A 12,810-nucleotide genomic window follows, 5' to 3' on the forward strand; every position below is an offset into this window, starting at 1 on the left:
GTTAATAAGGCTTTGACGAGATCCAGCTCTGTATTTGGTAGAGTTAACATATTTGATATTTACCTCAGCTATTTGTTGTCTGTTTAATAAGTTTGGTTTGTCATCCCAGATGCACATTATTTAGGAGTGTATAATCACATACAATTGTTTACGCTATTTACTGTTTGCTTTCAAGTCTTGCCAAGACGGACTTGGTGTAAACTAGCTGTCTGCAGCAGCCACACTAAGTTAAGCCTTTAAAAGGGTCTAATTGGGCTTATATAAATAAACACAACGATATGGAAAATAACTCCACATAACGTTTACTACACTGCTGGCCGGCTGGCAAATATGCAGACCTTCTCTCTTGTGGAATAGATAGAAGTAAATCTTACTCAGAAGGGTATAGAGAGCTATTTAAGTTTTAATTTAGAGCTCATCCAACTCTCTCTCTCTCTGTCTTACATACACACACACACACACACACACACACACACACACACGAGAAAAATCCTTTCAGTGGCAATAAATTTTAATCATGTAGTCAGTAAAGCTTGACTCTGGCTTTTATTCTTAGAGAAAATGGTCAGTGAAGCAAATCTCATATCTACTCATTACAAGGCCAATGGGCAGGTCATGATAACTGAGGGACCACAGATGCTCTGGTTATGTTTTAAACTAATAAAGGAGACCAGCAAAAATTCAACTAACCACTTAGGCACATGAAAAGAAGCAGAGCATAAGGGAGGCAGCATCTTTCCAAAAATGTTCAGCACGATTCCTTGTTGTACAAAAATTCAGTGGTTATGTCTTTCTGATGGAAGCTGCAGGAGCTCTGTGGCAGTCTTTGTGTATGAAAAAATTACAGTATGATGTAGGAGTTTTAGGACGGGCTGAGAATTAATTATTACTGGGTAAAAGGTACATTTTACAGTCATTTCATCAATAAATATTAATTGAAGCCTCACTGTGCATCAGTCTCTGGGCTAAGTGTCACAGGCCAGGGCACATCATGTGCAAAGATATGGAAGGCCTCATCTTCGCTCTTTTTTTTTTTTTTTTTTTGAGACGGAGTCTCACTCTGTCACCCAGGCTGGCGTGCAGTGGCGCAATCTTGGCTCACTGCAACCTCCGCGTCCCAGGTTCAAGCAATTCTCCTGCCTCAGCCTCCCGAGTAGCTGGGACTACAGGCGTGTGCCACCATGCCTGGCTAATTTTTTTTTGTATTTTTAGTAGAGAAGGGGTTTCACCGTGTTAGCCAGGATGGTCTCAATCTCCTCACCTTGTGATCTGTCTGCCTCAGCCTCCCAAAGTGTTGGGATTACAGGTGTGAGCCACCGCACCCTGGCCTATCTTCGTTCTTGAAGAATGAGTCATTTAGGATACTTTGTCTTCTTTATGCTTTTGTTCATGCTGACCCCCTCCAGTGAAATACCCTCCACTGCCGACCTCGGGATAGAGGCACACCCTTTGGAACTGTTTTCAATTGCTAGTTCTACTTGGACCCTTATTTGTGGCTAATTCCTTCTGCTTTGAATTCCACGTACTTATGTAAACCTGTTTGTTTCACAATGTCTTCAGGGCAAAGGGCAGATCCTGTGGATCTTTGTATCCTGTGCTTAACAAGATATAGTATGTATTCAATCAACATCTGTTGGATCCATAAATGAATGAATGAACAATATTAATAGCTCCTTGGAAAATGGCAAGCTATTTTAATACCTTACTCAAGTGTTTGAATTTACCCTCTCTGAAATGGTATCAGGACGGTACTTAAACTGGTCCACATTGTTTAATTAATACCGGGAAGTATTGTGTTGGCTAAAATCCTATAACATCATCATTTCTGTTTCATCTAGCAAGTTTTATTTATTCTTTTTTTTTTTTTTTGAGACGTTGTCTCGCTCTGTCGCCCAGGCTGGAGTGCAGTGGCGCGATCTCAGCTCACTACAAGCTCCACCTCCCGGGTCCACGCCATTTTCCTGCCTCAGCCTCCCTAGTAGCTGGGACTATAGGCGCCTGCCACTATGCCCGGCTAATTTTTTGTATTTTTAGTAGAGACGGGGTTTCACCGTGTTAGCCAGGATGGTCTCCATCTCCGACCTTGTGATCCGCCTGCCTCGGCCTCCCAAAGTGCTGGGATTACAGGCATGAGCCACCGCGCCCCGCCTATTTATTCTTTTCTTTTCTTTTTTTTTTTTTTTTTTTTGAGACGGAGTCTCGCATTGTTGCCTGGGCTGGAGTGCAATGGCGTGATCTCAGCTCACTGCAACCTCTACCTCCTGGGTTCAAGCAATTCTCCTGCCTCAGCCTCCCGAGTAGCTGGGATTACAGGCATGTGCCACCAGGTCCAGCAATTTTTTTGTATTTTTAGTAGAGACAGGATTTCACCATGTTGACCAGGCTGGTCTGGAACCCCTGACCTCAGGTGATTCAAGTGCCGGGATTATAGACGTGAGCCACTATGCCTGGCCTAGCAAGTTTTATTTAAATGTTTTTTGGAATTATTGTTGATTTTGGAGTGTATGATGATGATATTATAGTTATGTTTAAAAGGGGGAAATACATGCTGAAATATTTAGACATAAAATTAGATGATGTCTGAAATTCGCTTCAAGATAGCCAGAGAGAATTAAAGAGTATAGATGAAACAAGACTGGCCATAAATTGATTGTTATTGAAGCTGGGTGATGAATACATGGAGGTTCATTTAACTATTTCATCTCCTTTTGCACATGTTTAAAATTTTCTATAATGATACTAAAAAAATATATTTACATTTATAGAAGAGGAGAATCTGATGGAAGGGTCACAACTAAGCAATAAACATAAAACTGCAGACCTAAGTTTCTCCCGCTCAGGAATGCCCACAACACTGCACTTTTGGGATTAAGTAAAAGTAACAGAAATGCATGCTTGTTCCATTTCTGATTGCTCTATGGTTTAGCCCTTAAAAATTGTTCATTATCTTCCTAGAAGGCCAACAGTCATTTTCTATGATTGCAACTTGACCACTTTCTATTACAAATGCACTTGCTATAACTGGTTATAGGAGGCATGGAAGACTAGAATGAACAAAGGAAAAAAATGTACCTCACCACTGGGATCTCACTCAGAAATATCTTGAGATCAATACCGGGCCACCTTCATCTAGGATGTGTAAGTGAAAAATCTTCCACTTCTCATTCCCCGTTATGTCCCATTCTAGCAATTTTCATGACTCCTACTATTTTTGGGGTAGGGTTGCTGGTAAAAATTTAGGCTGCTAAATTAAATTTGAATTTCAGAGAAATAACAAATACTTTTTAAAGTATAAGTATCTCAAATATTGCATGGGACATACTTATTTTTATTTGCTAAATTTGGCAACCCTACTTGTGGGGCTATGTGATATTTATAATTCCAACAGTTAGTCAATTAATTAAAGGACCATTTTCTATACTTAGTTGATTTAATCATCTTGAAAAGCTTCATTTAGCTCTGGCCTTCACTAGACTATTGAACTAAAAAGGCTCAACTTTACTAAAAAAAAAAAACACAAAAAAACACAAAAAAACACAAAACTATCAAATTCTGATAAGAATACCTGTATTTCCAAATCTATTTTTCTGTTTGTTTGTTTGTTTGTTTTTTGAGATGGAGTCTCACTCTGTCTCCCAGGCTGGAGTGCAGTGGCGCGATCTCGGCTCCCGCCACCAAGCCCGGCTAATTTTTTGTATTTTTAGTAGAGACAGGGTTTCACTGTGTTAGCCAGGATGGTCTCGATCTCCTGACCTCGTGATCCGCCTGCCTCGGCCTCCCAAAGTGCTAGGATTACAGGAGTGAGCCACCGTGCTCGGCCATCTATTTTTTTATTTTAAGCAAAATAGCATATATATTGTTAAAATAAAATCAAACAATACTAAAAGGCTGACAGTGAAACGCAGCTGGCTTCTGCCACGCTCCCTCCTGATCCCCTAGATCCACTCAGTACCTAGAGCCGAGTAGCCAGCAGAAGCCGCCCTCCCTGGAGTTCTCTTTCGATCACTCAAAATAGTCTCTTGCTGTTAGGTCTTGATTTCTCAATTTTGGACATTACATATTGAGTTTCTTCTGAGAGAAGAAAGAAGAAGATTTAGTCTTTTAACTATTCTCATTCTCCCTTTGGAGTTTTCTATTACTTTTAGTGAAATCAGTAATCAAGCACCCACGTCGTTATGACCATATGTATACTCCCTGCAGAGCCAGGTTGTGTATGCTGGGTACATTTCCTTTCTGTAGTGAAAAACCATAATTTTCTGTTGCCTCTGCATCCACTTCAAATATAAGTGGGACTTTCTCAAACCAGAAACAGGGCTTGGTCGCCCTTGACACAGTTTCCAGTTCTCCACCTCCATCCATCTTGTTTTTGGTGTGGCTGATTCGCTATCTGCCTTACACAGCTGCCTGCTGCTGACCATCTTCCTTTACACAAATTAACTTCAAATGTATTATAGACTTAAATGTAATACCTAAAACTATAATGCTTCCAGAAAAAGGTGTAGGAGAAAATTTTTGTCACTATGGGTTAGACAAAGATTCCTTAGATACAACCCCAAAAGTATGAGTCATAAGAGAAAAAAATTGATAAACTGGACTTTACCAAAATTAAGAACTCATGCACTCATGCTCTTTGTTTTGAGACAGGGTTTTGCTCTATCATCCAAGCTGGAGTGCAGTGGTGTGATCAGGGTTCACTGCAGCCTCAACCTCCTGGGCTCAAGTGATCCTCCCACCTCAGCCTCTTGAGTAGCTGGGACTACAGGTGTGTGCCACCACACCTAGCTAATTTGTTTTTTATTTGTATAGATGGAGTCTCACTATGTTTCCCAGGCTGATCTCAAACTCCTGGACTGAAGTGGTCCTCCTGCTTTGGCCTCCAAAAGTGCTGGGATTATAGGCATAAGCTGCTGTGCCCAGCCAAACTAATGTTCTTTGAAAAATATTTTAGATCAATAAAAAGTCAAGGCCGGGCGCGGTGGCTCACACCTGTAATCCCAGCACTTTGGGAGGCCAAGGCGGGTGGATCACGAGGTCAGGCATTCAAGAGCAGCCTGGCCAACATGGTGAAACCCCGTCTCTATTAAAAATACAAAAAATTATCCGGGCATGGTGGCACACACCTGTAATCCCAGCTACTTGGGAGGCTGAGGTGGGAGAATTGCTTGAACCCGGGAGGTGGAGGTTGCAGTGAGCTGAGATCATGCCACTGCACTCCAGCCTGGGCGACAGAGCAAGACTCCATCTCGGAAAAAAAAACGAAATAAAATACAATACAATAATAAAAAGACAAATACTGGAGCAATATTTTCAAAGCATATATGTGATTAAAGACTTGTATATAGAATACTTAAAGAATTCTCAAAACTCAGTAATAAGAAAACAACCCCAAAAACATGGATGAAAGATGTCAACAAATACTTCACCAAAGAGGGTATATGGATTGCACATATACCACATGCACAAATAAGGCTTGAAAAGATGCTACATACCGTTCGTATTATGGACATGCAAATTAAAATCACTGATAATATTACAACATGCTTATTAAAATGGCTAAAATTTAAAAAAGACTGGCCCTAGGAAATGCTGGTGAGGATGTGGAGGAGGAATTAGAACTCTTTTTTTTTTTTTTTTTTGGAGACGGAGTCTCGCTCTGTTGCCCAGGCTGGAGTGCAGTGGAGCGATCTTGGCTCACTGCAACCTCTGCCTCCCAGATTCAAGAGATTTTCCTGCCTCAGCCTCCCCAGTAGCTGGGACTACAGGCACACACCATCATGCCTGGCTAATTTTTGCATTTTTAGTAAAGATGGGGTTTCACCATGTTGGCCAGGATGGTCTCAAACTCCTGACCTCGTGATCCACGCCCCTCGGCCTCCCAAAGTGCTGGGATTACAGCTGTTAGCCACCGCGCCCAGCCATTTATTCCTTTTTCACTCTTTGGAGTTCTTACCTTCTGACCAAAGTCATGGACCAAATAGGTGTCATAAGTTGCTCCTTTGTACCTACAGATACAGGGCCATGTTACCTATTAAATGCACGTTAAATTGATCTGATAATAAGGGAATATAGCCAGGTGCAGTGGCTCATGCCTGTAATCCCAGTGGGCGGATTGGTGAGCCTAGGAGTTTGAGAGCAGCCTGGGCAACATGACAAGACCCTATCTCCACAAAAAATACAAAATATTAGCTGGGTGTGGTAGCGTGTGCCTGTTGTCCCAGCTACTTGGGAGGCTGAGGTGGGAGTTTCGCTTGAGCCCAGCAGGTCGAGACTGCAGTGAGCCAATATCGCGCCACTGCACTCCAGCCTGGGTGACAGAGTGAGACTCTGTCTCCAAAAAAAAAGGGGCGGGGGGAATTTTTTGGGAAAATTTCCAGTGACTATTAAGAGAGGCAGTAGACTGTATTGGGTAAGAGCTGTCTTGGTTTGGGTCCTCCCAAAAGCAGACTCTGAGACAAAAATTTAGGTGCAGGTAATTTATATACAAGTTGATCCAGGAAGCACTAAGAGAGAGTTAGGGAATATGTGTAGGGAAGGGAGAAAAAGCAATAAAGGGTAAATTAATGGTCAGGTTACTTCTGTGGGCAACTGAGGCTCCATGCTGCTGGGGATCCTTTGAGAGATTTTGTGAAAAATAACTCAGAATCATTTGAGACAGGGGCGAGGAAGCTGGGCTTAATTTCCCAACTCCTGTCCTTCTTGGCTGAGTGTCACTTCTATGAGATGAAACCTCTCTGCACAGGTCAAACAGATGCCAGTGGCCAGAGAACGTCCTTATGGAGTGGTAAACAGGAAGCTGGTGGGCACATAAGAAGACTGTCTGGAGGTGACCTCCCGGGGCCTAGGGGAATATGGGTGGAGCCAGGTGTTAGGATGGAGTGCTTAAGGGCTTGTGCAGAAGCTGCATTTCCACAATAGGTGCACTGCTCTTTTTGTCTGGGATAAGAATGTATGCTCATTCGGGGTGGCTGACAACGATTATAGGGCTGCTAAGCTTCCTCCGAGCTATTTCCATAACGCTGCTTTGTATCTTCTTTATTGAATTGCTGTATAAAGTATAAATCATAATCCATAATTTATAAAGCTAAAATGCCTGTAAGGCAAATAGGATTGTCTCATTCCCCTGCTTAAAACTCCTTGTTCTCAAGAAAAAGACCGGCATCTTTAATATCAGCTAACAGACTCTGTAGAGCCTGGTCCCTCAGACCTTCTGTCCTGCTTTGCTCCTCCTCTCTTATGCAAGTTCCTTGTATGTACCATGCATCTATTGGCCACAGGATCTTTGCATATGTTGTCCCTCTTGGAATGCTCCTCAGCCCTCATTTCCACAGGCTGATCTGACCTTCCACTGCTGTCATCGCCCCTCTGTAGGATAAGGTTTCCACTGCTCTCCCTGCTTGGCCAGCTATGCCTTAAGCCCATTACTAGTCCCATCCTCCCGTCATCCATTCTCCTTGCTGGATGGTAGAGAATTGATTTCCAGGTGCCTTACACTTCAGCTTTTCTACAAAAAATCCATTCCTAGGCTAGGGAACAAGCACGCAGAACATGAAGACTTCTTGGGAAGGGGAAAGAAGACAACTCTTTATTCACTTCCACAGCACGAGGAAGAAACCATTTATTCTGCCATAATTATTGCATCAAAAGTAGTTCCATAATCGTATCCTTATGCATTCATTATTCATGTAGGAAGACACTGTTTAATGGTTGAAATTCCTCTTACATACGTATTATCTTTACAGACATTACTTCTCCTCAAAGATGTCACGGTCACTGGCTCTTTGGCCACAGGCCTTTTCTGGGCACATTTCAATCAATGAAATGATTTAGTAATGTCTGCTCTTCTTTGAATTCATTCAAAAGAAAATACAGAATGTACTAACAAGTTCTCTGAACAAAAACCAAAAGCACTGATGGAAAACTGGAGACATTCTGGAGAAACACATAAATTTTTTTTTCTGTGTTCAAAAGAATCTCCCAAGAGCCTCTCCAGTGTGACTTCACAGTGAGACTCCTGCTCTCTAAAACTCAGTTGGCAATAAGGCGCTACGTGATTTTTAAAAAGATACAAACACTGGTGATGAGAATGTTGGGGAATGTTCATCTCATTCCACACGCAACTTTATCAGAGGGCTCCTTCCTCTGAAAAGGCTAGAGGTAAATATAGAAAGAGAGGATGCTTATAATTTTCCTTGACTTTATCTTTTCATTTCTTGAAAATCAAGGATGTTTTTCCCTCAAATTAGGTTTTAATGATTTAAAAGAAACCAAAGTTCAGGACAAAGAACATATGTAGCCCAGACTCTAATCTCAATGCCTCTCTATGAAGTAAGTCATCACATTACTTTTCTGCCAACAGTAGTAAAATAGGGCTTGGCACAAGAAACCTCACTGAAACTATTTTGCTAGAGTCATTCTTGCACCAAATGGTGCAGCTATACACACCCAGGGAGTATGCAGGCATTTAACTTGGGGTCCCATCTGGTAATCTGCAGACTTTAAATTTTTCCAGGGATGTGGGAGAGGGAAGGAGGCAGTGATACTGTCAAGCTGCCGAGATTTATCGCTGTCCTCTCCATCAGCCAGCATTCTCATATCGCCGTAGGAGATGCCACCAGTTACCCAGAAATTCTGCAGGATGAGCATGGGAATTTGCTTCATCTGCTGGATGGGGTATTTTCATGCTCTTGGCAATAAAATATCAGACTTAGGAAACACCCTTTCCTCCACCGCCTTCTAAAGAAAGGTACTCAGAAGCCAAAGTTGTGTTGTGTGACCTGCCCCCGGCCATAGCTGACTGAATTAGGGGTAGACACTTGACCTAAAATGGTCTTAAATATATTCCTTCTCTCAGTAATTTGGAATTGGAATTAAGAGATCTGGTATCCCTTAGAAGGAAGAGATATAAACTTGGGGATTCTGGGATAACCATCTTTGCCCAATGCATGGCTATAGATTCAGGGAAAGTCCATCTAGGAAGAAAGGACAGTGAAGCAGAAATGCCTGAAAGCAGAAGACAGAGAAGGAGAAGAGAGAGTTCTGCAGGCTCCCAGGGTTCCTTTGACCCAGCTGCATTCCTGCTCTTGGTCTCTGAGTCACCACAGCATTTTTATAATAAATTCCCATTTTTAACTTACATGATTCTTCAAACCAGAGTCCCAACTAATACGAGCATCCAACCTTTTGTCAGGAGACAAGAGATGAGCGTTTTTGAATCCTTATATGGAAGTGTTTATATTTTAAGTAGGAATTATAGTCAGAATCTTTAAAATATTGCCGTGGCCGGGCGTGGTGGCTCACGCCTGTAATCCCAGCACTTTGGAAGGCCGAGGTGTGCAGATCACAAGGTCAGGAGATCGAGACAAGCCTGGCCAATATGGTGAAACCCTGTCTCTACCAAAAATAAAAAAAATTAGCCAGGCGTGGTGGTGGTCGCCTGTAGTGCCAGCTACTCAGGAGGTAAGGCAGGATAATTGCTTGAACCCAGGAGGCGAAGGTTGCAGTGAGCCAAGATCGTGCCACTGCACTCCAGCCTGGGCAATCTCAAAACATAACAGAACAAAACAAAACAAAACATTGCTGTTACTGGCAGTGATGGAATTAGAAAAGTTTGGTGACTTTTGAAAAGCCTCAGTCCAGATGAATCCCACACGTTCTTAGGAGTAATGTTTCTCTAGGTTGGGACAAACGTAAGTTTTTGCTACTGTTTGTGAAATCATTGGGCTTCTAGTGGGCAAATGTACCCCAATCCTGTCCGTTTCCAACACTGCATTGGTGGTCAGGACAATGTGCTTTCATTTGCACAAGCATGTTCAGGAGGAGTCCTCCTGCAAGGTAGATGCCCGTGTTGCTGGGACTCAGTCCCTTGTGATGGGGCCCACCAAAGACAGTTTTGCTTGGGTCCTCTCAAAGCTATGCTGTTGGGTTTGTGCTTGGGTGAAATATTATACTGTTCTGTACTGGCTTAATGTCTGGGTTTAGATAGAATAAGCTTCCCATTAGTTCCACCCGTGGGAAACATTTTTCTTTTCATGTGTCTGCTTTTCTGCCTCCCAAGAACATGAAAACAGAAGTCATACAGGAGTCTTATGTTTCTTTTTTCTTTTTTTTTTTTGAGATGGAGTCTCGCTCTGTTGCCCAGGATGGCATGCAGTGGCACAATCTTGGTTCACTGCAACCTCCAGCTCCTGGGTTCATGTGATTCTCCTGCCTCAGCCTCCCGAGTAGCTGGGATTACAGGCACATGTCACCATGCCCGGCTGATTGTTTTGTATTTTTAGTAGAGACAGGGTTTCACCATGTTGGCCTGGCTGGTCTTGAACTCCTGACCTCAGGTGATCCACTTGCCTGGGCCTTCCAATGTGCTGGAATTACAGGCGTGAGCCACCGCGCCTGACCGAGTCTTATGTTTCATTCACTCATTCTTTCAATGAATAGATAAAAATGCACTGAGCACCTTCAAGAGGCCAGGCAGTGCCCAGTGTTAAGGCCAGCTGCTCCATGTTAGTCTGAAGCTAGCAAATCCACATTTCCCTCTCCCATTCTGCCCACCAGAAAGACTATCCTAGGGACACCCCAGGCCATCTATCTCCCTTTGACCTCATCCACTCTACTTTGTTTCCAGCTTTCTTGGTTTCTCAACATCCATCTCCCCTCCCCCATTTTATCTCCATTTCTTGGTTGGTTTGTCTTTTCTTGCCATCCTAGCTTTGCTATTTGGTACCTACATAGGGCAAAGTCTAAGGCTCTGATTGCTAATGCAATAAACTACTTTTATTTCCACAGTAGACTGGAGTTCTTTTGATGTCAGGGACACATTTTTTCATCTTTGTGTCCCCAGAGCCCAGAAATACACCTAATACATAGCAGCACTCAAAGTTGCTGAAAAAAAAAAATGAATGTAACGATACACATGTAATTAGCAAGAATATGTTAATGCTAAATCTTACACATACCCATTCTTACAAAGCTCACTAGTGTTAGAGAAGAAAAGATAGACCAGAGATGGGGGTAGAGGGACTAGATTCTCTTTTCTTGAAGCCAGAGGCTTTGTGCCACCCATGGCTGAACCACTATAGTGTTTACTTTCTTTTTTTTTGAGATGGAGTTTCGCTCTGTCGCCAGGCTGGAGTGCAGTGGCGCTATCTCAGCTACTGCAACATCCACCTCCTGAGTTCAAGCGATTCTCCCGCCTCAGCCTCCCGAGTAGCTGGGACTACAGGTGCACGCCACCACGCCCAGCTAATTTTTGTATTTTTAGTAGAGTCAGGGTTTCACCATGTTGGCCAGGATGGTCTCGATCTCTTGACCTTGTGATCCACCTGCCTCAGCCTCCCAAAGTGCTGGGATTACAGGTGTGAGCCACCGCGCCTGGCCCCCTAGTGTTTACTTTCAGTGGAATCCTCTGAAAACTGTTGTTGCCCCCTTCCCAAGTATAAACAAAGATTTCATTGTGAATACCACTTCCTTCACTTTCTTTCTTTCTAGGAATCATGACATTCCATCCTCTTTGGCAACAATACTTTGACATCTCCTTATGTCTCTTATTTTTTACTTTTTAGTAAAAAGAACATCATTTTCAGTCTCAGTGCCCTTGGAAATGACTCTGTCCCTTTGAGCCAGATTTTTCTCCTTGTTTACTTCTTGCATCAGGCACCAATACTCTCCACAGTGATAGAACCTGTAGCCAAAACTGCTATATGGCTATATATAAAATCTACAGTAATCTCTCCAACCCATTTTGACCAAGTCACTGAGATGACTTGTAGCTCATGGCTGTAAACTCATCATCGTATTCGACTTTCATTTACCGCCCATCCTACTCTAGTAGGATTTTTCTCCCAGAAACTTGCAAATATTTCAAATCCTGCATTTCTATTTTGACACATTCATCCCACTTGTCTCTCATCAACCCACAGTGAGTTTTAGAGAGAATTTTTTTTGCAACAGTTCCCATCGTAGGAGATAATGACATGCAAACCCAAGCGAGGTTTGAACAGGCTCACTCCCTTTGGTATAACGTGTGGGGTATTAGCCCATTTTCATACTTCTATAAAGAAATACTCAAGACTGGGTAATTTATAAAGGAAAGAGGTTTAATTGACTCACAGTTCTGCATGGCTGGGGAGGCCTCAGGAAACTTAACAATCACGGTGCAAGAGGAAGCAGGCACCTTCTTCACAACTCAGCAGGAAAGAGAACCTGTGAAGGAGGAACTGTCAAACACTTACAAAACCAGCAGATCTCGTGAGAACTCATTCACTATCAGCATGGGGGGTGGTTTCCCCTCATGCTGCTCTACCAAATCACCTCCCTCCCTCCACACATGGGGATTACAATTCGAGATGAGATCTGGGTGGGAACATAGAGCCAAACCATATCATGTGGCCAGACTATGGTGACATTTACGTGAGTCAGAAACCTGGCAGACAGGCTTTAGACAAATTTCCTTATCCTTAAGGAAATTCTTCTAAGATCTTAAAGGCTTATGCAACTATGTTTTGTATATAGGGGTAGTTATAAGAGTAGAAACTTGAAAATTTCAACCCTCCCACATCCTAAAAAATCATTTAGAGACATTCTGTCATTACACTTGAGAAAAATGTAAGCTCAGAGAAGTCGAGTGAGTTGCTGGAGTCATATAGATAGTGGCAGAGTCAAAAATATGATTTGGCAGGGCACGGTGGCTCACACCTGTAATCCCAGCACTTTGGGAGGCCAAGACAAGCAGATCATGAGGTCAAGAGATCGAGACCATACTGGCCTACATGGTGAAATCCTGTCTGTACTAAAAATACAAATATTAGCTGAGCG

Source organism: Homo sapiens, chromosome 9, assembly GCF_000001405.40.
Source record: "Homo sapiens chromosome 9, GRCh38.p14 Primary Assembly".
Taxonomy (NCBI): domain Eukaryota; kingdom Metazoa; phylum Chordata; class Mammalia; order Primates; family Hominidae; genus Homo; species Homo sapiens.